Below are 25725 nucleotides of genomic sequence, written 5' to 3' on the forward strand. Positions count from 1 at the left end.
GCTAATGAGGAAATCCTTTTGTAATCTCTTTGGCTAGGATTTTTTATTTGTGCATATATAAATACCTTTACAGAAGAAAGGGAGAATCTCATAATCTAATCTGTAGTGGTGTGAGATCGTTTAGCATAGTAATTAAGAGTTGTTAAGACCATGGGCTCTGGATTTAAACTGCCTGAGTTCAAATCTAAGCTCAGCCATCTTGAAAAAGTTTTTTTTGTGTTTTGTTTGGTTTGTTTGAGACAGGATCTTGCTTTGTTGCCTAGGCTAGAGTGTAATGGCACAAACATTTCATTTCAGCCTCAACCTCCAGGGCTCAAGCAATCCTCTTGTCTCAGCCTCCTAAGTAGCTGGGACTACAGGCATGCACCACCACACTCAGCTAATTGTTTTATTTGTTGTAGAGATGGGAGTCTCACCATGTTGCCCAGGTTGGTCTTGAACTCCTGGCCTCAAGTGGTCCCCCTACCTCAGCCTCCCAAAGTGTTGGGATTACAAATGTGAGGCACTGCACCCAACCAGAAAAGTTTTTGAACCTCTCCATACCTCTGTTTCTTCATTTGTAACTGAGAGGTACTCATGCTTCATAGTCTCATTGTGAGGCTTAAGTGAGATCATGCATGTAAGCACTTAGCATTTTGCCTGGCACATAGGAAGCCCTAATTGTTAGAACCAAGAGATTGAAAGGAGAGCAGGGTTATAATCTTTTTTTTTCATCAAAATAACTGGTTTTTATTACATTAAGTTATACCTGTATATGTATGCATACATACACCTATTTGAGTGCTATAATCTTAGAATGTTCTTGATATTAGTCTGAGTGTCAAGTTCTTCTATAAACTAGGTGGAACCAAATTGAAGGCCAGCCACCCGTCTTGGTAACAACATTAGTGTCCAACTAAAGCATATTAAAGATAAGGCAAAAAAGAAGAAAGAGAACAAGATGGTAAATAGGCAAGTAAGATACCGAGGAACACAGTGCCTCCATGAGTTGCTAATTATCAGGCCAAGGCAGCTATAATGGGGTTGCTACCTGTTGTCTCTATAACTAGTGTTCCTGATATTTTTATGAGGAGGCACTTGGTCGTTCCTTATAACAGCTCTGAGGCTCTTCAGGGTTCTTGGGCTCCAGGTTCAGACCCATTAGTCTATACTTGATGACATTTGTTCTTAAGTGTCAGCTTGAGGAGAATGAGTGCTGGTCTACAGAGATCAATGCAAGTAACCATTTAATTATAGAAGAAATGCTGAATTGTAGGTTGCAATTTCTGGGGGTTGGAACTTGAGCAGAATGGTCAAAAGCAGATTAGAGTTTAAGAATAACTAGTAAAGAGTAGTGTGTTTAAGGAGGAAAAGTACAGTTTTGGGTTGGGCGCAGTGGCTCACGCCTATAATCCCAGCACTTTGGGAGGCCAAGGCGGGAAGATTGCCTGAGGTCAGGAGTTCGAGACCAGCCTGGCTAACATGGTGAAACCCTGTCTCTACTAAAAATACAAAAATTAGCTGGGTGTGGTGGTTGCGCACCTGTATCCCCAGCTACTCGGGAGGCTGAGGCAGGAGAATCGCCTGAACCCAGGAGGTGGAGGTTGCAGTAAGCTGAGATTCCGCCACTACACTCCAGCCTGGGCGAAAGAGCAAGACTCTGTCTCCAAAAAAAAGAAAGAAAAAAAGAAAAGTACAGTTTTGCTGTACTCTCTTTAAAAAGATTTGCAGGCCGGGTGGGGTGGCTCAATCCTGTAATCCCAACACTTTGGAAGGCCGAGGCAGGCAGATCACTTGAGGTCAGGAGTTTGAGACCAGCCTGGCCAACATGGTGGAACCCTGTCTCTACTTAAAATACAATAATTAGCTACATGTCGTGGTGCACACCTGCAATCCCAGCTACTTGGGGGGCTGAGGCATGAGAATCGCTTGAACCCGGGAGGCAGAGGTTGCAGTGAGCTGAGATCACACCACTGCATTCCATCCTGGAGGATAGAGTGAGACTGTGTCTCAAAAGAAAGAAAAGAAAAGAAAAGAAAAGATTTGCTAACATACTCAGTACACCATCAGAAACCATCAATACACCTCAGAAACTGAGGCACAGACAAGTTAAACAGTTTTCCTTAAGTTATATGGCTAGTAAGTGGCAGGGCTAGAATTTAAATCTGAACCTACATCTGTTTGAAAGTTGATTCTTGCTCTCTACACTGTGCTGTCTTTAAGTCCTTTCTCTTCCCACTCACATCCAATCAATTTCTGAGTCTTGTCCATTATATTATTGTAGTGTTTCTTTCATTTGTCCCTGCTGTTCTGTTCCTGCTGTCCTAGTTTAAATTTCCATTACTTTTGGATAGTTTATTGTGGTAATCTTCTCATTGGTCTTCCCACCTATCTTTTCACCCTACACAGTGCTTCACAATATGATAGTTTTCTTAAATACAGATCAGAGTATGTCACTTTATTCCTAAAATTCTTTGGCTTCTCACTGAATATGAAATAAAATTTCAGATTCTCAGCGCTGCATGATCTTGCTAGCCTGTATTTCTAAATTTTGAACCGTGTCTCCTGAATGTACATCGTTACTGCTTCAACCACATTGGACTACTGAACTATTAGGTGTTCTCCACAGTCTTTGTTTATCTGCCTTTGTACCTTTGCTAAAGCCTCTCCTTTGCCTTAAAGTCTTTCCCATTTTGACCTGTCTTGGGCTTATTATTCGTCTCCCATGGTTCAACTCAGATCCCCAGATCCTAACTCTTCCATGAAGTTTTCACAGATTGTACTGCTAGTTGAAACTGAACTTCTTTCCTGTTTTCTTTTTGTGTTTTGTATGTTATCCTTAAAAAATTTAACCCCGTATACCTTATGTCGTGGTACTTTTGAAATGTGTCTGTCTTTGTCCCATTAGATAGTGACTCCCTTAAGACACGGGCCATTTCTAAGTCATCATTTATGTTTTATGTTTTTTATAATGGTGACTTTTTATATAGTATTTGTTGAATTGAAAATTTGATGTCCATACAACTTTTAGGAATACTTTGCTGGGACACATTACATAAACTAGGAGAACTTAAGACTACGAACAGAATATTTGGACTAATCATTAAGAAATACTAATTTAAGTATGGCAAAGGAAAGCACAGGTGCCATGATGCGACATTTTTGTAAAGGTATTGATTGGGGTTTTGAAAGCGATGTTAGGGTATCCTGATGGGATGGCATTATCTTTTATGTAGATAATACTTAGCACTGATCATCCCCTTACTTGAGTGTTGTTTCCATTTCTAGGTTCCTCAACTTAAAAGGGATGAGGAGACCTTGGAGACGGTTCTGAGGAGACTCAAAAGATGATTATATGATTGGAAGTCAGTCCTATGAGGAAAGGTTGAGAGAATGAAAGGTTAAGAGGCAACTTAATAACTCTTCAAAAAACATGAATGGATCCATTATTAGGAATGGTAACCAGCGGTTTCCCAGCTCCACTGACAGCAGAATAAGAGAAAATAGGTTTAAACCGAAATCAGGAGTAGTTGTGTAAAGAACTTATTGGTAATGATGGTTGTCATTACAGTCATGGTAAAAAGGTTACCAAAATAATTTTATTATCTTCTCTGGAAGTATATTTTAAAAGTACAGTCCTGCCTACATATGTATAAAATGACCTCTTAAGCTACCTTTTCCTTCTGTGAATCAGTAAATAAATTCTTATTCAGCTCCTCGAAGCAATAATTACTTTCCAGTAGGAAGCTTCCAGAGATATTTCTTTAGGAAGTAATGGTTTTTGTAGTGGCTTTATAGGAGAATACAAATTTTTAAGTGGAGCTAAGAGAGAAATCTTAAACATCAAGAGAAACCAAGGAAAACAGTAGGTGTGGTATCAATATAGGAAACAAATAAGTATTTGTAGCTTTTATGTCCATTTTCAGTTGTCATTTAAAGAGGTATAGTTCAGAATAGCTCTTGTTAAGGCTGTCACTGCTTGTGGATACATTGTAACAAATGCTTATAAATCATTTCCAAACTAATAGAAGTTTGCTTCATGTTAGTTAGTATTATAAAAGCCTCTGACCCTTGGCTTTTGAGGCTGTGTAGAGGGCTTGCATCACTCAGAATGAAACCTTTTTAGATATGTTGGGTTGCAGAAAGCATTTCCTGTACAGTCAGAATGAAAACTTGAATTGGGATTATTCATATAGATTACCAAAAGTCTGGGCAGAGCTGATATTACCACCAGCCAGTTTTCCTACTAACTCTTAACTCCAAAACCTTCATTGGGTTATTGAAGCTTTAGGACTTTTGAATTTCCTACTGGAATTGTGTATGAATTCCTTCTTTCAAGTGAACTGATACTAGATTTATTTAAGATTAGTTATACATCTTAAGTATTTTTTAAGTGGCATATAATGAATGGTCTCTACTTTTAACCAGTCTCATAAAATGCCTGGGGTTCATAGGTGAAGCTGGATTGTTGCAGGAATTCTGCAATTGTTGGCAAAGCGAAGGGCAGTTTGACTCCTTAATTATAAAGTTGGATGTCATTTGAGAAACTCTGGGAATTGGAAGTAGAACAAATTCATACTTTCCCTATAACTTTTAATTTCTTGTCATACATTCAGAAAACAAGAGATGTAAAATTCATAAAACTGCTTGTATAAATTCAGAAAACGGGATTATAAAAGCAAAGACAAATTGTCTTACGATTCTTTGTTCTACTTGAGAGATTCAAGTGTTGGAGTAATAAAAAATACCAGGGACTTTCTTTTTTTTAATAGGTTAATGCCACCTAATGTGGGCTTCTCAGAATGTGATGGCAAACTTCCAAATATGATGTGGGAGCCAAAAGAGACCAACTGGTTTTACAAAATATTAAGAACACAAAATTTCCCAACTCATATATTTGAATATTCCTAAAAAATAATAAGTCAAAATTGTGTTGGTGGGCTGGGCACAGTGGCTCACAACTGTAATACCAGCACTGTGGGAGGCTGAGGTGGGAGGATTGCTTAAGGCCAGGAGTTCAAGACTAGCCTGGGCAACTTGGTAAGACCTGATCTCTACAAAATAAAAATTTTAAATTTAAAAAATTAAAAAAAAAAAATTAGCCAAGCATGGTGGCCTGGCGCCTTGTAGTCCCAGCTACTCAGGAAGCTGTGATGGGAGGATTGCTTGAGCCCAATGGGTCGAGGCTGCAGTGAGCCATGATCATGACACTGCACTCCAGCCTGGGCAACAGAGTGAGACTCCATCTCAAAAAAAAAAAAAAAAAAGAGAAAAAAAATTGCATTGGCCAACTTGGAGGCTTCAGTGTTATTTTGCCAAGAAGAATGTTCACTTTTGTCATCTAATTTTACACTGCTCCTTCAGCAAACTGACTTTATGGAGAGATAACCCTGTTTACCTTTAGAAAGAAGGAAGTTGTGGATTCCTCAGTCTTACTCCCATTACTATTGGTCATTCAACAGCCCATCTTCCCAGAAGGAAAGATGTAACCTGACTTTTGCGCCAGAATAAGAACAACAAACGGAAGAAAAAAACTGAGTTTTATAGTAGAAGTTTGTAGTTGAATGAGCATGTAGCTCAAAATGAAGTTAACCACTTAAACTTGTCATATGGGGGACCAAAATTTCTTATAATAAAAAGAACTATATCTGAAAATAAAGTTGGTGTTTGTTTAATTTTTCTAGCCTATTCAAATCAATCTGGTCATTTATGGTACTTTCCTATTAGAGAAAAATAAACCCTGTGATTGTGATGCTTAACTTAATTTTCTACAGTGAATCAGTTAAGTGGGCTTATTTTTTCTGCTTTAGCAAGTAGATAAACCAGTTCAGACTTGGAACCTGAGGATTCTGGAAATACACCTTTCTTGAGTTTTTGGTTTTTTTTTTTAAAGATTCTGCAGAATAATTTGGGACATTGCCAGGAATCAGAATAGTTTACTATCTGAAGTAGTGCATTCATTTTGCTGTTTTTTGTTTTTTTGTTTTTAAGACAGATAAGCTACTTTATGACTACCTCTTTTTCTGAAGCAGGGTGGGTGGAGGTCACCTGTCTCATTTGCTTTGCTGTTTTCAGCATCTTTGCTGCTTATTCTTGTTGACATGGAGTGGGGATGAGGGGTACTACCTATTTCTCTAGTTACAAAGTGAGTAGCATTTGTGTTTCTTAGGTGACAGTTGCTAGGTAGAATTGAATTAAATATTTGAAAACTGGACTTCATTCTTGTGTGGGTGAAATTTTTACCTTCTGTTGTTATTGAAGAACAGAGAATTATTGTCTTAGCGCTCTTTAATCCCAAGTGACCTTTTTGTGTTAACATTTCTCAATATCAGGCAGAGATCATATTTAAACAGTTTCAATCTCTTCCTATCTGTTATGCATTCAAATAATCATTGTTCTCTTGATGCACCAATAACCAGAGAGAATCTGCCCTTGTTCCTGCCCCTGACAATCTGTTCACAAGAGAATATGATGTCAGTTCAATAACAGCATACATTTCTTGACTGGTTGAATTTCATTAACTATTTGGCTTAAGAAGTTTGCCCCTTGATGTCTGTGTATTTGACTGTGCTTGGGTATATTATACTTTTCTTACTGATTGAGCAGCATTATTTTTATATTCTGCTTTTGGAAATGATTTACAGGTGTCACTACATTTTTTTTCTACTACAAATAATGAAAAAGTACCTGCAAAGAGGCTCATCTTCCTAAAAATGGCTATCATAAATATTGCATTACAAAGTAAGAAATAGAAATTGAAAAATCGAATTCATTTATCAAAGAACATCTTTTATACTCTAGGTGGATGACCAGCTACTGGGGCTCTACCATTGGAGACGTCCCTTCCCTCATGAAACTTGCTATCTAATTCTTTTTTTTTTTTTTTTTTTTTAGAGACAGGTTTTTGCTCTTCCACCCAGGCTGGGATGCAGTGGCACAAACACAGCTCACTGCAGCCTCAAACTCCTGGGCTCAAGGGATCCTCCTTCCTCAGCCTCCTGAGTAGCTGGGACCATAGGCTCACAACACCATGCCTACTAATTTTTAATTTTCTTTTCTGTTCTCTTTTGAGACAGAGTCTTGCCCTGTCACCCAGGCTGGAGTGCAGTGGCGCAATTTCGGCTCATTGCAACCTCCACCTCCTGGGCTCAAGTGATTCTCGTGCCTCAGCCTCCTGAGTAGCTGAGACTACAGGCACATGCCACCACATCTGGCTAATTTTTTATGTTTTTAGTAGAGACGGGGTTTCACCATGTTAGCCAGGCTGGTCTCGAACTCCTGACCTCAGGTGATCCACCCACCTCGGCCTCCCAAAGTGAATTTTTTTTTTTTTTTTTGTAGAGATGGGGTCTCACCATCTTATGTAGCTGGTCTCGAACTCCCAGGCTCAAGCAGTCGTCCTGCCTTGACCTCTCAAAGTGCTGGGATTATAGGTGCGACCCACCATGCCCAGCCTCTCATTCTTTTTAATGAGCTCAGCTTAAAATGTAGCAGGAATATAAGTATTCACATTTTTAATACTTTGCAAGATACTTTGGAAATTGATAATCTGAAGGTTGAAGCTCTCAGAACTAATGTTAACAGAATTGTCCTTGGGAGCAATTCAGCTATTCTTCATTTACGGATTTAGTGATTCTTGAGTCAGTTGTCTTACACCAAATGTAATACATGAATCAGGAGGGTTTTTCTTTGTTTGCTTTTTGTTTTTTTAAGAGACGAGGTCTCACTATGTTACCTGCGCTGGAGGGCAGTGGCTGTTCACAGGCATAATCATCATGTATTACAGACTTGAAATCCTGAGCTTAAGCGATTCTACTCCCTCAGCCTCCAAAATAGCTGAGACCATAGTGCACACAACTACGTCTGGCTCTGAATCAGGAGATTTTAAATGTTCTCAAAGTATGTAATAGCTTTTTCAGTCAGGCATGGTGGCTCACACCTGTAATGCCAGCACTTTGGGAGGCCAAAGAGGAAGGACCGCATGAGCTCAGGAGTTCAAGACAGTCTGAACAACATAGTGAGACCCCTTCTCTACAACAGAATAAGAATAACCAGGCATGGTGGTGAGCACTGTAGTCCCAGCTCCTCAGGAGACTGAGATGGGAGCATCACTTAAGCCCAGGAATAGGAGGCTGCCGTGAGGTATGATCATACCACTGCACTCCAGCCTGGGCGACAGAATAAGACCCTGTCTCAAAAAACAAAACTTTTTCCCTCCTGTTAAAATGGAACTTAGATGTGACTACATGCTCTGCTGCCTTCTACCATCAAAGAAGTGCCCCCTTCTTTTTTTTTTTCTTTCTTGTTTTTTTTTTGAGATGGAGTCTCACTCTGCTGCCCAGGCTGGAGTGCAGTGGCGCCATCTCGGCTCACAGCAACCTCCGCCTCCTGGGTTCAAGCGATTGTTCTGCCTCAGCCTCCCAAGTAGCTGGGATTACAGGCGCCCACCACCACGCCCTGCTAATTTTTGTATTTTTAGTAGAGATGGGGTTTCACCATATTGGCCAGGCTGGTCTCGAACTCCTGACCTCGTGATCTGCCCACCTCGGCCTCCCAAAGTGCTGGGATTGCAGGCGTGAGCCACTGTGCCTGGCGGAAGTGCCCCCTTCTATCTAAGGCCAACCTCTCCATTTGAGCTCTGGATCCCATCTCCTCTCATCTAGTCAGGGTTGTACCTGCAGTTATCTCATCTCTCCTGCTGCATAGGTAATTTCTCTCTCACAACTAGATTGGTCCCATCACCATATAAAACTATCTGCCTTAATATAATCCTTTAAAAAAACGCTTGACCCCACGTCCACCTCTAGCTGCTACCTGATTCTTTTCTCCCTTTTCACAGCAAAACTCCTTGAAAGTGCTGTGTGTAATTGCTATTTCTACTTTCTCACCTTTCATTCTTTCCTCAACTACTCCAGTTGGGCTTTTATCCCCATGATGCCTCTGAAATAGCTCTTATCAAGGTTCTCAAGGAGCTCTATTTTACCAGATTGAATAGATAATTCTCAGTTCTCATCTTGTTAAACCCTTTGGCAGCCTTTGAACCAGCTGACCACTCCCTTCTTGGATTTTTTTTTTTAACATTGTACTCACCTGTTTTTCTTCTTAACTCATTGGCTGTTAATTTTCAGTATTCTGTATGGCTTCCCTCCTCTGCTTAACTCTCCTGAATAAGGTTCCCAGGAGTCTACTTTTCACTGCCTTCTCTGTCTACACACTCTTCCTAGGTCATCTCATCCAGGCCTCATCTATACGCTGACAACTAAGAAATCTTTTTCTCTAACACTGACTACTTCTCAGAGTTCCAGGCTTGTATAGCCTGCTGCCAATTTGATATTTCCATTTGGCTAATATTTACTGAGTGTTTATTGTGGGCCAGGCTATATTCTGAGCACTTCACATGAATTATCTCACCTAACCTTCATGACCATTGTCTGAAGTATCACTAGTATTCCCATTTCATAGGCAAGGAAACACATATACATTGAAGCACTTGGATACCTAATAGGTATCTCTTACTTACCATATCTAAAAAGTCTTGACTTTCTTCCTCAAACCTTTTCCATTCCCAGTCTCTTTGTTTCTTAATTATTCCACCAAAAATCCAGTTGCTCAGGCCTAACATGTAAGATTTATCGTCGATTTATCTCTTTTATTCACATCTCACATCTATCCCATCAGCAAATTCTGTCTGTATTACATCCAAAATAAGCCCTAAATTCAACTACCTCTCAACAACTTTGCTACCAAAACCTCAGACTCTCCCATTATAGTCTCTTGGTTGGAGTTGCTTATGTTATTACCTCACTAAAGTTTGTTTCTCACATAGCAACAGTAAACTCTGGTATCAAATCCTATTCCTTCACTTTAAACCTATCTGTGTCTCCCCACACTGCTAGGATAAATCCAGATTCCTTACTATGGCCAACAAAGCCACACGTAAGCTGGCCTCTGGTCAAGCCTACTTCTCGAGCATTGTCTCTTCTCATCTCATCCATTCTGCTATATAGCCACACTAGCCTTTTTCTGTCTGTCATGCATGCTGTGCCTGTTGCTGTCTTGGGGCCTTTGCACTTGCTCTCAGGCTAGAACACTACTCCACCAAGGTCTTTATATGTCTGACTTTTTCTCATTTAGGCCTAACCAGGTTTGGCAAGTTTTTTTCTGCAAAGGGCCAGATGGCCTCTGTTGAAACTACTCCACTCTGTTGTTGTAAGTGCAAAAGCAACCATAGGCAATACAGATGCTCCCCAACTTACGAAGGGGCTACATCCTGAAAAACCCATACATCAAAAATGTCATAAGTCAAAGATACGTTTAATACACTTACAAGCTCGTCGTAAAGTCAAAAATTGTAAGTCAGACCATTGTAAGTCAGGGACTGTCTGTCCATTAACAACTGAACGTGGCCATGTTCCAATACAATTTTATTTATGAACACTGAAATTTGAATTTCATATAGTTTTCATGTACACAAAATATTCTTTTGACTTTAAAAAAATGGTTAATTTTTTTTTTTTTTAATTTTAACTTGCAGAACAATTGATGGTGGGCCAAATTCGGCCTGTGGCCCATAGTTTTCCAGTCTTCGGTAAACTATTGCCTTAGAGAAGCCTTTCCTGTCTACCCTAGCGAATATAACCCCACAGCTAACACCTCTCCACCCCCCACTCCTGTCAATTCTTATTGTCCTAGTGTCTTTTTTCTTCTTAGAGACAGGGTTTCACTCTGTCACCCAGGTTGGAGCGCAGTGGCTCAGTCAGTTCACTGCAGCCTCAAACTCTTGGGCTCACATGAACCTCCTGCCTCAGCCTTCCTGGTAGCTAGGATTACAGGCGAGAGCCACCATGCCCAGCCCCTAGTGTCTTTTATTTATTTGTTATATGTTTATTTTCTGTCTCTCCATTAGATTGTAGCTTCATGGGGCAGGAATTTTGTTAGTTCTTTACATGTATCTTGAGAGTCAAACAGTACCTGGCAATACTCAATAAATACTTATTGAATGATTGAGTGACAGTCATATTTGAATTATGCCTGTAGCCTGCTATCTGGTCCCCCTTTTTTAAGTCTTTCTTACTCTAGTTCATTATATATACCATTTCCAGAATAAACTTCACAGTTAATGCCTTCTCTACATTTGAGAACCAATGGTAGCAGTCTGTATTCATTGCATTTGCTTTGACCATACCATACAAGAATTAACAAGGTTCTGATTATTTCATTTGTCTTCTATCTTGGCCCTACTCTGGCTACCCCTTTTCAGCCTAATCAGTTTTTACCAATCCTCCAATCCTTGCATCTGATTTTCTTCCCCCTCTCTGCCCCTTATTATTATTATTTTTTTTTATTTTTATTTTTATTTTTATTTATTTATTTTTTTTTGAGGCAGGGTCTCACTCTGTTATCCAGGCTGGAGTTCAGTGGCGCAATCATGGCTCACTGCAACCTTGACCTCCTGGGCTCTGGTGATCCTCCCATCTCAGACTTCTGAGTAGTTGAGACTACACCACACCCAGCTAATTTTTGTGTTTTTCTTTGTAGAGATGGGGTTTCACATTGTTGCCCAGGCTGGTCTTGAACTGCTGTCTCAAGCAAGCTGCCTGCTTCAGCCTCCCAAAGTGCTAGGATTACAGGCATGAGCCACTGTGCCCAGCCTTGGCTACATTTTTAATACATTTTTAATTTTTTTTTAGACAAGTCATCTCCCTTTGTTGCCCAGGCTGATCTCAAACTCCTGGAATATCCCACTGCCTCAGGCCCCCAAAGTGCTAGGATTATAGATGTGAGCCACTGCACCTGGCCTCTCCCTGTTACTGTTAATCAGCCATTGCTCATTACCTTCATGATCTATTTTCTTCAGAGCTGCATTCTTTAAAACTTTTAGGGCCATGCATGGTGGCTAACACCTGTAATCCCAGCACTTTGGGAGGATTGCTTGAGCTCAGGAGTTTCAGACCAGCCTGGGCAATATAGTGAGACCTCATCTCTACTAAAAATTTAAAAAATGAACCTTTTTTTTTTTTGAGACAGAGTCTCACATTGTCACCCGGGCTGGAGTGCAATGGCGTGACCTTGGTTTACTGCAACCTCCGCCTCCTGGGCTCAAGCAATTCTCTTGCTTCAGCCTCCCAAGTAGCTGGGATTACAGGCACCTGCCACCACGCCCAGCTAATTTTTTGTGTTTTTAGTAGAGATGGGGTTTCACTATGTTGGCCAGGCTGGTCTCAAACTCCTGACCTCATGATTCGCCCACCTTGGCCTCCCAAAGTGCTAGGATTACAGGCATGAGCCGCCGCGCCTGGCATGCCTATATATTTCTAAGTATGTAGGTATTCCTCAGAACTCTGCCATCTACCCTCCTTTTCTTTCAGTACTATATTCTTTCCCTGGGTGACTGAATTCATACACAGTTTCAGCATTCATATATTCATTGAGTCAGATGTGTTTTCTTCAGATCATTATACCCTTTAGACAACGTGGATAAACATTTCAAATTCAGATGTCTAAAATGATCTCTCTTCCCACTCCTTTAAACCTGTCTCCTTTCTGTGTTCCCAGTCTTGGTAAATACCACCATAAACCTAATCAACCTAAGCCAGACATCCACAAGTGTTTTATTGATTCTTTGCACTCCCTTAAACCTTTATATCAAAGTCTTGTCCATTTTGCCTCCTAATGTCTATAGGATCTGTCCTTTTCCCCTTAATCCGTATGGCCACTACAGTCATTTTACAACTGTTCTTCCTGCCTCTACTTCTCTACTGCTGTCATAGCTTTTGGCAGCAAAAATCCAAATCTAATCATACTTCTCTCCTACCAGAGTCACTAATCTGCTATAGCCTTCAGGATGAGGTCTACACGTCCTCAAAGATAAACTTCAAACTCATGAAGGCATATAAGACCTTTCATGATACACCTCCTGCCTTTTTTTTTTTTTTTTTTTTTTTTTTTTGAGACAGAGTCTTGCTCTGTCACCCAGGCTGGAGTGCAGTGGCATGATCTTAGCTCACTGCAACCTCTGCCTTCTGGGTTCAAGCGATTCTCCGCCTCAGCCTCCTGAGTAGCTGGGACTACAGGTGCCCACCACCACGCCTGGCTAATTTTTTTTTTGTATTTTTTAGTAGAGACAGGGTTTCACCATGTTGGCCAAGCTGGTCTCAAACTCCTGACCTCATGATCCACCTGCGTTGGCCTCCCAAAGTGCTGGGATTACAGGTGTGAGCCACCATGCCTGACCGCCTTTTTTTCCCTTCAATATCTTTTGCCCCTTTCCCACATCAGCTAAGGCCTCAGTCATCCAGAACTATTTTTAATTTCACTCCATGCCACATTCTTTTGTGTCTCTGTGCCTTTGTATGTGTTATTCTCTCTGCTTGCACTACACTCCTCCCCCACCCCCCACCAGCTTTATCATCCTTCGAAAGATTAAGTTTTCATCCTCTCTGCAATGGCCTTCCCGATCCTTTCTCCTTGAGTGGGTTAATTGTCTTTCTGCTGTGCTCCTCCAGCAGTGTCTTCCTCTAGCATAGCAGGCAACATACGATACTTCATTAATTTACTCATCTGTTTTTAAGATTAGCAGGTCCTTAAAGACAGAAGCTGTCCTTTATCTCTGTTTTCATACCGTAGCCTAGGAATGGCCGATATATATTTTAATGAGTGAGTGAATGAATGAATTGGTACAGTCTGTCCTCCCAACCTGAGGGCATTCTCCCTATGCATTTTTTTTTGAGATGCTTTCAAATTTATTTTATTTTGGTTTATTTTTGAGACAGGATCTCACTCTGTCACCCAGCCTGGAGTGCAGTGTCTCGATCACAGTTCACTGCAGCCTGTATCTTCTGGACTTAAGTGATTCTCCCACCTCAACCTCCCAAGTAGCTGGGACTACAGGCACCCACCACACCCAGTTAATTTTTTCTATTTTTTATAGAAAGAGGGTTTCACTATGTTGGTCTAGAACTAGGCTGGTCTACAACTCCTGGGCTCAAGCCATCCTCCCTCCTCGGCCTCCCATTGTTAGGATTTCAGGTGTGAGCCACCTCGTCCTGCCCCTATACATTCTTAAAAGTAAGAATCATATTGTGTAATTCTTTGAAGTCCCTCAGTATTTTCTACTATAGTACTATTACCACAGTAGGTATTTAATGTTCTTAAAACAAGTTTATTGCATTTCTTTTATTTTCATTTTACAAACATTTATTGGGTGCCAAATTTGTGCTAGATATTAGAAATACAAAAATGAATAGGAAAACTGTTTCTATCCTCAGAGTACACACTCTAAAGAAGACAAATGTGTGAACACATTTTTTAAAATTCCTTCTGCTAATACTAGTAATTATGTGAGCATGTCTTTAAGGTGCAACATTAAGACCTTGGTATTTTGAAGCTTGTAGCAGTAGCCACAAGGGGAAATGTGCCAGCTGAAGTGATAGCTACCTGGAATAAATTCCCAAAGGGGAAGTGGTATTCTTTTTAAACTTATCGCTGCCAAGATGCACAGTTTGCCTCCTGGATATTTCTTCAACTTTAGTTGTTCTCAGTAATTTTGTTAGTTCTCCTGTGGCCTCCTCATTTGATGGAATGATATATAATGGTACTAGAAGCCTTCAAAACAAAGTATTTCAAAAAACAAGTGCATCAGGAGTGATTTTGATACTGTCTATGGTATTGATGTTATTTTCAATTGATTCATTGAAATTTGTTTTGTAATTGAAGGGATTTGATTTTTCAAACTCTTTTTTTTCCCCCCTTTGAGACAGAGTCTTGCTCTGTTACCCAGGCTGGAGTGCAGTGCACAATCTCAGCTCACTGCAACCTCTGCCTCCTGGGTTCAAGTGATTCTTGTGCATCAGCCACCCAAGAAGCTGGGATTAAAGGCATGTACCACTATGCCCACCAAATTTTTATTTTTGGTAGAGACAGGGTTTCACCATGTTGGCCAGGCTGATCTTGAACTCTGGCCTCAAGTGATCCATCCATCTCAGCCTCCCAAAGTGCTGGGATTACAGGTGTGAGCCACCATGCCAGGCCCTGATTTTTCATAAGACTAAAAATTTTGGAAACAGAAGAATGCTAAGATATAGCTGCTAAAGGGCATGTTTGAGATGCCTACCACTTAATTAAGTGCTGTGAAGTACCTAGGAGTCTCTTGCTAGAAAAGGAAGGTGAGGGTGTGAGCAAAGTCATCCTAGGCTGTATTCATCTGAGGCCAGGAGTATTGGAGCTTATTCAATAGAGGAATTCTCAAAGTAGCTCTGGAGCCTCCATCTTAGCCTGGTAGGTAAAGAACTCTAGGCGGGTGATTTTTGCTCTGACTATGGTATATTGAAAATAATTTTTTTTTTTTTGAAATGGAGTCTTGCTCCGTTGCCCAGGCTGGAGTACAGTGGCATGAGCTCTTGGCTCACTGCAACCTCTACCCGGCCCTCCCAACCCCCCGCCCCGGGTTCAAGCAATTCTCCTTCCTCAGCCTCCCGAGTAGCTAGGATTACAGGCGGGCACTACCACGCCCGGCTAATTTTTGTATTTTTGGTAGAGACAGGGTTTCACCATGTCTCTGGTCATGTCAGGATGGTCTCAAACTCCTGACCTCAAGTGATCTGCCTGCCTTGGCCTCCCAAAGTGCTGGGATTACAGGCTTGAGCCACTGCCTCAGGCCCAATTGGGAAGAATTTAAGGGAGGAACTAAAAGCTATGCATTTTAGTTGGGGATAGGGAAGAAAACATTACAGTTTATCAGTTGAAATTTTATCAGATCAGTGGTATTACTAGAAACTGTGTCACATCTAGTTACTATAGATAATTTAGGTCTTGATTGCCTAAACTCTGATTTCTAGCTCTGGAGTGCCTAGTTACAATACTGAGGAATGGAGATATACATTGCCATCCTTTGGAAGAATTTTGAAATTTGAATATTTCTCCATGAACCACATACTAATATAGAAGGAAGAATAGACTTTTTCTTTTTTCTGAGATAGGGACTTGCTCTGTCACCCAGGCTGGAGTGCAGTGGCACGATCTCAGCCCACTGCAACCTCCGTCCCCCAGGCTCAGGGATCCTCCTACCTCAGCCTCCCGAGTAGCTGGACCACAGGCATGCACCAGCACACCCAGCTATTTTTTTGTATTTTTAGTGGAGATGGGGGTCTCACCATGTTGCCCAGCCTGGTCTCAAACTCCCTGAGCTCAAGCAATCCACCTGCCTTGGCCTCACAAAATGCTGGGTTTACAGTCAGGAGACACCACACCCAGCCTTCAAGAGTTAAGCAAAATTTTTTATTCCAGAATATGAATATGAATTACACATAGTATTTTATCCTTCAGTAACATTGTTTTTTTAGAGACAGGATCTGGCTATGTTGCTCAGGCTGGAGTGCAGTGGATTCACAGGTGCAATAATAGGGGACCACAGCCTTGAACTCCTGGTCTCCAGTGATCCTTCTGTTTCAGCCTCCCAAATAGTTGGGACTACAGGCGCACACCACCATACCCAGCTATTCTTTAGTGACATTTTAATGCAACTGATTTTTAAAAGGAAGGCTGAAATTGCACACTGCCTGTCTGCCTTAGATACTTCTTGGGAGCAGGAATCATGTCTTACTCAATGTTGTATCTGGAACATATAGCCCTAGGGCAAGTGTATAAATGTTTTTTGAGTGAACAAATGAATTAAATATTGCTTTGTTTGAAAAGTTGTCTTAGTAGTACATAATTCCTTGAAACACAGAATTTCATGTATTTTTCTAATATACCTTATATTTTATACACAAACATTATGTTTAATACTTATTTAGGGTTCACTTAGGTTCTTTTGTGGGAGAAATATTCCTATTGCTTCGTCACTCACAGAAATAACTGGCCACTAAAGAATTAAAGTTTTGCCACTAAAATAAAATTTCTGAATATTAAGATATTTATGAATAACGTGAATTTAGTGGTAAAGGTATGCTTGGAAGCTCTCAAATAACTGGTTACCCCAGAGTGGAGATGCAGGGGTCAGAAAGAAATTCTACATGTTTATTATTTTTACAACTAGATTTCACTTAGGAAGTGACATTACATAGCTTAATTTGCTGTCTTAATCACTGGAAGCTAAATATGAGTTAACAGTATTTTGCAGTGCTCTACTTGGCAAGGGTGTTTTTCTATCTTTGCTGGTAAGAAAATGAAATATTGGTGATCTAGTCTCCAAGGACATCAGTGTCAGCAAGGTTTAGGTTTTGTGGCTATACTGTCTTGGAATGCTGTGCTCATCAGAGTAGGCCAAGTTGAAAGGAAAAGTGTGTGATGAATGGTTGCCTGAGCCCAGTTCCCAGGAGTCCCTAGTCATGTATAGCATGATGTCTCCTGTACCCTCTCTCTTCAGGGCTGTCCAGGCTTATGATGCCACGATGCCAAATGTGGATTTAATTGTAGCTTCTTTTGTCTTTTTTATACACATATTACTGTAGTCTTTTGATTTCTAGATAAGTTTAAATCCTTGGGAAGCCAACACTCTTACCTTGTTTCCAACCTCCAGGGATCCCATGTGCTTAAGGAGAGTGATGGAGCAAGATGAGAAGCCTGTTGCTCATGATAGTGCAGTGAAAGGAGGACTTTTTTGCAGCACCCTCTTTATTTATTTATTTATTTTTGAGACGGAGTTTTGCTTTATCACCCAGGCTGGAGTGCAGTGGCGTGAGCTTTTGGCTCAATGCAACCTCTGCCTCCCAGGTTCAAGTAATTCTCGTGCCTCAGCCTCCCGAGTAGCTGGGACTACAGGCGCGTGCCACCATAACTGGATAATTTTTGTATATTTTGTAGAGACGGGGTTTCACCATGCTGGCCAGGCTGATCTCGAACTCCTGGCCTCAGGTGACCCACCCATCTCTACCTTCCAAAGTGCTGGGATTACAGGTGTGAACCACCATGCCCGGCTGCAGCACCCTCTTGTAGCCTTCTTTCCCAGTGCTTTCTCAACTTGGCTTTACTTAGTTTTTTTGTTTTGTTTTGTTTTGTTTTGTTTTGTTTTTTAGGGCTCTTACATAGGCTTGGAAGTTCCAAGTTAGAAGACTGGAGCTCTTTAACATAACAATGACAGCTTTTGTTTTTGGCTAAGCTGTCCGGATTATTTAAACAATGGGTACTTATTTTTTAAAGCATGCTTCAAGAAATCAATCAATATTTCAAGTGCAAAGAAAGTTCTTGGGTAAAAGTATAGTTCATTTTGACTACTTATTTTTATTTATTTATTTATTTTTTGAGACAGAGTCTCGCTCTGTCGCCCAGGCTGGAGTGCAGTGGTGCGATCTCGGCTCACTGCAGGCTCCGCCTCCCGGGTTCACGCCATTCTCCTGCCTCAGCCTCCTGAGTAGCTGGGACTACAGGCGCCCGCCATCACGCCCGGCTAATTTTTTTGTATTTTTTTTAGTAGAGACAGGGTTTCACCGTGTTAGCCAGGATGGTCTCGATCTCCTGACTTTGTGATCCTCCCACGTCGGCCTCCTAAAGTCCTGGGATTACAGGCGTGAGCCACTGCACCCGGCCTGACTACTTATTTTTTATTTCCTTATTCCAAGTACAAGACCAGAAGGAAAACGAATTAATGCTTCCTGTCATTTTGGAAAGTACTTAGAAACTTTAAATATTGGCAGTTAAACTGCCTGACAGCTCAGTGGAACTCTTGTTTTGGAATACATTGCAGTTAGGATTATATAGTTACATTTTGTAAAAGTTTGAAATATATAAAAATGACTCATTAGGTTGTTAATAATGAACCTAACAGTGTGTATCTCTTACATTTATCTTTATTTTTTTTTTTTAAATAAAGATGGGGTCTTGCTATGTTGCCCAGGCTGGTCTTGCACTCCTGGGGTCAAGCAATCCTCCTACCTTGTCCTCCCAAAGTGCTGGGATTACAGGCATGAGCCACTGCACCCAGCCCATTTCTTTTAAAGATTAATAACTTTTTATTACCTGTTGAATACTTTACCTATTGATTATTATATGTATAGTTGCTTGAGCTGTCAATCATTGTAGCATTTGGAACATAAAATGCGTGTATTTAGCAATGTAGTCCCCTAGTAAGTGTTGGGAAATCCCCAGATGTCTTTGTGAAATGCATAGATTAGCAGGTTGTTCCACGAGTATAATTCAGGAAAAGAATGAATTAATCAGAAATTTGAAGGATCTGAAAATGGCCATCATGTGACTTTTACAGTAGCTAAAAGAATAGCAATTTTTGTACTTTAGACAACTTATTCAATTCCTTTAAATATTTATTGTTTTATATTGTATCTATTATGGTAGGAAAACTATTCTACAGCCAGTTTAGACACTTAGGTTCTTTGTAGCTAACTGTGTGATCTTGGGCAAGTCATTTGGCCTTTTAGAGCTTCATTTTCTTCAAACACAACAATAAGAACTACTATGTGAGGGGACTTCAAAGAAAACTCATGGAAAAATACATATTATGAAAAAACTGCAGAATTTCAAAATTTTGTATGCACCAAAATAAACTTGCACTAACTTGTCATAACATATCTGAACAGGATGTAGTTTGAGGCACTAAGAAGGATAAGACATCAGTTTGAAAAGAGCCCCTATCAGAGCAACATAAGTTCTGCTAAAATTGAAGCAAAAACAAACATAAAATTTATGGTGAAGCTGGGTGAAAGAATGGTGAAATCATTGATGCTTTACATAAAGTTTATGGGGACAATGCCCCAAATAAATAATTGGATGGCTCATTTTAAGAAGGGACAAGATGATGTTGAAGATGAAGCCTGTAGTAGCAGACTGTCCAGTTTGCAAGGAAAAAATTCATCTTGTTCATGCCGTAATTGAAGAGGAATGATGATTAACAGCACAAATAATAGCCAACACCATAGACATCTCAATTGGTTCAGCTTACACAATTCTGACTGAAAAACTAAAGTTGGCTGGGCGTGGTGGCTCACGCCTGTTATCCCAGCACTTTCAGAGGCCAAGGTGGGTGGATCACCTGAGGTGAGGAGTTCGAGACCAGCCTGGCCAACATGACGAAACCCCATCTCCACTAAAAATACAAAAATAACCAGGTGTAGTAGTGCATGCCTGTAGTCCCAGCTACTTGGGAGGTTGAGACAGGAGAATCACTTGAACCCAAGAGGCAGAGGTTGCAGTGAGTGAGCCAAGATTGTGCCATTGCACTCCAGCATGGGTGGCAAGAGGGAAACTCTGTCTCAAAAAAAAAAAAAAAAAACCTAAAGTTGAGCAACTTTCTACCAAATGGGTGCCAAAACCATTGCACCCAAATCAGCTGCAGACAAGTGTAGAGCATTCAATGGAAATTTTAAACAAGTGGCAGCAAGATCCTGAAGCATGTCTTTGAAGAATTGTAACAGGAGATGAAACATGGCTTTACCAATACGATCCTGAAAACAAAGCACAATCAAAGTAATGGCTACCAGGAGGTAGAAGTGGTCCAGTCAAAGCAAAAGCAGACTGTTTAAGAGCAAAGGTCATGGCAACAGTTTTTTGGGGATGCTCAAGGCATTTTGCTTGTTGACTTTCTGGAGGACCAAAGAATGATAGCATCAGCTTATTTGAAAGTGTTTTGAGAAAGTTAACCAAAGCTTTAGTAGAAAAATGCCCAGGAAAGCTTCACCAGAGTCCTGCTCCATCATGGCAATGTCCCTGCTCATTCCTCTCATCAAACAAGGGCAACTTTGTGAGAATTTTCATGAGAAGTCATTCAGTATCATTAAGTATGCTGATTTGTCTCCTTTGCCTTTTTTGTTTCCCAATCTTAAAAATCTATGAAGGAGGCGGAGCATCTAGGCTGAGGCAGGAGAATCGCTTGAACCCAGGAGACGGAGGTTGCAGTGAGCCAAGATTGTGCCACTGCACTATAGCTAGGTGACAGAGTGAAACTCTTATCTTAAAAAGAAAAAAAAGAAATCTATGAAGGGCACCCATTTTTCTTCAGTTAATAATGTAAAAAAGACTGCATTAAAATGTTTCAGTTCCCACGACCCCCAGTTCTTTAGGGATGGGCTAAATAGCTGGTATCATGGCTTACAAAAGTGTCTTGACCTTGGAGATTATGTTGAGAAATAAAATTTATATTTTTAATTTTTATCTTTTAATTCCATTTTCCATGAACCTTTTGAAGTCCCATCATATGTATGTTGCCTATAGCTTTCCAAGTGATTTCACATAAATTATTTATTCCTTACAGTGCTCAAATAAAAAATGAAATTGAGGGATAGATACAGTAAGTGAGTTGTCTAAGATTACATAGTCTGAGAGAATCAGACTGAGACCCTAAACCAACCCTTCTCTCCCCACATCCAGCACTCTCCTCACTGGCATCACGTATGAGAAGACTGGATTGGCCCCCTCTACAATTATAATATTCTATGATTTTTTTGTTTCTGAAGTGATTTGCCATTACCTATTTTATTTGCTTTTTCCTCAAAATATATTTTAGGGTTACTATTTTTAATGTCTTTTTTTTCTGCCTGAAAGTACATTTTAAAAGTTAACAGTATGGAATTTCATTATTGTGATAAGATTTTATATTAATTGTGCTGTTAGGAGTTTTGGCTGTTTTTGTTTTGTTTTGTTTTTTTGGTAACATTGTAGCCTACAAGTGTAAACCCTGAAAATGATTCCAGAAATTTATTTGGGGTTCAGATTCACATGTTGTAGGTTAGTTATATACTAACTTGTTTTAAGATGAAGAGAGATAATTTTTTTATTTTAAAATTACTTTTAGATTTTTTTTAGATTGGGAGGCCAGTATGGGAGGATCACTTGAGCCCAGAAGTTTGAGACCAGCCTGGGCAACATAGTGAGACCCCGTCTCTGTAAATAATTTTAAAATTAGCTGAGTGCTGGTACATGCCTGTAGTCCCAGCTGCCCAGGAGGCTAAGGCAGGAGCATTGCTAGAGCCCAGGAGTTTGAGGCTGCAGTGAGCCGTGATCACACCACTGCAGTACAGCCTGAGTGACAGAGTGAGCACTGGCAAATTTTAAAATTTTCTGTAAAGACTCACTATGTTGCCCAGGCTAGCCTTGAACTCCTGGCCTCAAGCAGTCCTCCCATATTGGCCTCTCAAGGCGCTGGGATTACAGGTATGAGCTACTGTGCTGGCCAAGAGAGAATTTTTCTTATTCACAAATAATGTTCACAGTAAGAATTTACTTAAAATTTTTTTAAAGTAAAAAGAACTGGCTGGGCACAGTGGCTCACGCCTGTAAATCCCAGCACTTTGGGAAGCCAAGGTGGGTGGATCACTTGAGGCCAGGAGTTCAAGACCAGCCTGGCCAACATTGCAAAAGCCCATCTCTACTAAAAATACAAAATTAGCCAGGTGTGGTGGCACACGCCTGTAATTCCAGCTACTTGGGAGGGTGAGGTATGAGAATCTCTTGAACCTGGGAGGCTGAGGTGGCGCCATTGTACTCCAGCCTGGGCGACAGAGCAAGACTCTGCCTCAAAAAAAACAAAACAAAACAAAACAAAAACAACAAAAAACCAACAAAAAAAGAACTTACGTGTAAGAATTTAAATTAGTGATGAAAGAAGAAACTGTAAAAAGTACTCCAGTAAGCCAGGCATAGTGGTGCATGTATGTAGTCCGAGCTATGCAGGAGGCTGAGGCAGGAGTATCACTTGAGACCAGGAATTAAAGACCAGCCTGAGCAAAATATGTAATTAAAAAAAAAATTACTGTAGTCTGTGTTCCTTAAATTTAGGTTTCATACATTCTTAGAATTATAATACTTTTTCATGGCTGGGCACAGTGGTGCATGCCTGTAATCCCAGCACTTTGGGAGGCCGAGGTGGGCAGATCACTTGAGGTCAGGAGTTTGAGACCAACCTGCCCAACATGGTAAAACCCTGTCTCTACTAAAAATACAAAAATGAGCTGAGCATGGTGACAAGGGCCTCTAGTCTTAGCTATTCAGGAGGCTGAGGCAAGAGAATCGCTTGAACCCAGGAGGCGGAGGTTGCAGTGAGCTGAGATCGCGCCACTGCACTCCAGCCTGGGTGACAGAGCAAGACTCCGTCTCAAAAAAAAAAAAAAAATTATAATACTTTTTCAGATGTCTTTGAAGAGGAGAATTTCAGCCTTTTCTTAAATAGTCCAATACTTTAATCTTAGCAATCTCAGAGCAAAAGCCTTTTTAGATGCCAGTAAGACTTTTCTCTCAGTTGCCTAGTATGCAAAGGCTGGGCCTTAAATGTTTTGCTCCTCTAAAGCATTTAAATTTAAGAGATGAACCTGCTAATTTGTCCTAAAAGTTATATATGTCTTTTAATATAGTCATGGCTGAAAAATGGCTAAGACAGTTAGCACCTGACTCTAGTTTTAAATTAACTGAGAAAATAATCCTTCAGAAAATCATTGATGTTGTCCACATACATGTGTTCTTACCTCTCGAGAGGAAAATGTTAATGCTTTTGTCATTGGAACTCAGTTTGGGACTTACCACTATAAATTGGAGGTTCCAGAATGTCTGTTCTTCATTCCTTATTTTGTTCTTGTTTTATGTGGATTTTGTTTCTGGAATCTGAAATTCTATCATTCTGTGTCTGTCTCTGGAAAGAACTCAATCTCTGAATCATTGAATTTCTATTAATCAGTTTGTTTAAATAGACCATCTTTCTTGAGAACTTGTGCAAAATAGGTTAAACAAATCCTTTTTTTTTTTATAGAGCAGGTTAAAATTAGAGGTAAGCAGAAGCTTTTGCTTTTTGTCCTTTCCAACTATAACTGAAAATAGGATGCTTCCCTAAGTTTTAGTAAAGGATTTCATCCTATATGCAGTCAATTCATGATCCCTTTCACAAACGCTGCTGCCCACCATTAAGTCTCTTATCACAGGCATTTTTAAAATTATACCATAAAATGCATGTTGAGACTCTCTGGATCTCAAATGTACAGAAATCACATCTAAATGTCAATTCCTGAGTTAAGGAACTGACAATTATGGCACTTTCAGTCTCTATTAATATTTAGAAGGCAAGAGATTATTATATTGTTTATATTACTCCTTATGTGTCTGTAGACTTAAATACTTTTTGAAAAGCATTTGTTTGTTGTATTGGGGCTGTATGTTTCTGCCATTATACTTATTTGCTTACCTGATTTAAAGTTGTCCTTTAATTGTTTTGGGCTGTATCTATAGTTTGAAATTAGGACTATCCTCTGTGTACTATGCACCAAAGATGACATTTCAATGCATTGTTCAGTTACTACACAGCTCCTATTTGTCTGTAATAAAGCTGTATGGCTGGGTCCATTTATTTCAATATTAGTTATTTTATAGTATCCATTGGAATGATGATAATTAATATATAAAGGCAACTTTTCCAAATTCATTTGTGTCTCCTCTGGGCATTTCTTTGGGATGTGTTTGTATGCACGTTTTTGCTTCTGATTTTAAAATAATTTTCCTTTGTTGTAGGATGAGCAATTCTTAGGTTTTGGCTCAGATGAAGAAGTCAGAGTGCGAAGTCCCACAAGGTCTCCTTCAGGTACGGCCAATTAAGTGCATGGTGCCTTTTAAGTTTTGTTTGTTAGGAGATTGTGGCTTCCTCTTGCCTTCTTTACATGTAAAGGATGCTCTACCATACTTGGGTTAGGAAATGGCTGATGAGCTAGACTTCTTTTTATTTATTTATTTATTTATTATTGTTATACTTTAAGTTTTAGGGTACATGTGCACAATGTGCAAGTTAGTTACATATGTATACATGTGCCATGCTGGTGCGCTGCACCCACTAACTCGTCATCTAGCATTAGGTATATCTCCCAATGCTATCCCTCCCCCCTCCCCCCAGCTAGACTTCTTTATGGGACTCTTATCTATCAGGCCACATTGGGTTTATTCTTTCTCTCTGGGAACTACTTGGGGCATGGGAAGTAGGTTTCCACAGAATTACTGGGAAATCTGGTAGGCAAAGTGAAGGTAACCTAGTAAGAGTATCCTCAGATTTACACATTTTGTGTTATGTGGTAGTGTATATGTCTTTGGGAATAATTTGGCCATTATTTTTTTTGGATGAAATTTGGTCCACTATTGTCAAAGAACCAAAAACAAAATATTGGCATTATGTGAAACATTTTTACCTGATTCTTGAAAGGCTGTATTAAAATAAAAAAATGGAAAATTAGCAATATTTGTCATTATTCTCACCAACAAAATATCTAGAATATCTTGAAATTCTAGACTTACAAGCAGTTTCCTAAGAGAAGACCCTCAATGGAAATAACATTTAATGGCTTGCCTAATTCAGTTCTGTATAGGAGAAAGCTATGTATCTTTTGATGAAAATGCATTCCCCATCTGTGCTGCCATTCTGACTTCATATATGGTTTTCTTTGATTTTATGTGGATAGACACTCCAGCTAAATATGATATTGTTAGCTGTTTCTGCTTTTTGACATTGACTTAGCTTGTGATGTGTGCTAGCATTAGGGTCTCACTTAAGAGTCATCATATATTATCATCTAATTCAAACATCCAAGTTGACAGTTTTTCTTTTCTTAAAGAGGAGTGGTATTGTCATTCTAGTTGGGGGCAGTTGGCCAGTAGTGTCCCAGTATCTGTGCTATTCAGACAGTAGCAGTGTTCTCTTTAACATGTGATGAAGTCTTAAAACTTCATATAGGAAAGGAATTAGAGAGATCATCTGGGATTTTTGTTTGTTTGTTTATAGATGAAAAAATGAGGTCCATGAAATACATGAGTAATGATTTATAACCAGTTTGA

The 25725-nt window shown here is 40.0% G+C and overlaps 1 protein-coding gene across 9 annotated transcripts in view, besides 1 other annotated feature; it reads left to right on the top strand.

The window, feature by feature from the left end:
• The window catches only part of KMT2A (lysine methyltransferase 2A), a 90341-nt gene that overhangs the window by 7866 nt on the left and 56750 nt on the right, over positions 1-25725 (top strand). For all 9 annotated transcript variants that reach the window (XM_011542829.3, NM_001412597.1, XM_011542830.3 and 6 more), the window contains one exon: positions 24418-24487. In XM_011542829.3, the coding sequence (XP_011541131.1) occupies positions 24418-24487 (70 nt within the window). The remainder of the gene's footprint in view (positions 1-24417; positions 24488-25725) is intronic.
• Positions 6217-6511: a silencer, noted in NCBI's record as "tiled region #11577; HepG2 Repressive DNase matched - State 14:Gen5'". NCBI's record gives its function as "represses a minimal TATA promoter and a strong SV40 promoter by Sharpr-MPRA in HepG2 cells {active_cell/tissue: HepG2}" and the evidence as "EXISTENCE:reporter gene assay evidence [ECO:0000049][PMID:27701403]".

Source organism: Homo sapiens, chromosome 11 (assembly GCF_000001405.40).
Source record: "Homo sapiens chromosome 11, GRCh38.p14 Primary Assembly".
NCBI classification, from domain to species: Eukaryota; Metazoa; Chordata; class Mammalia; order Primates; family Hominidae; genus Homo; species Homo sapiens.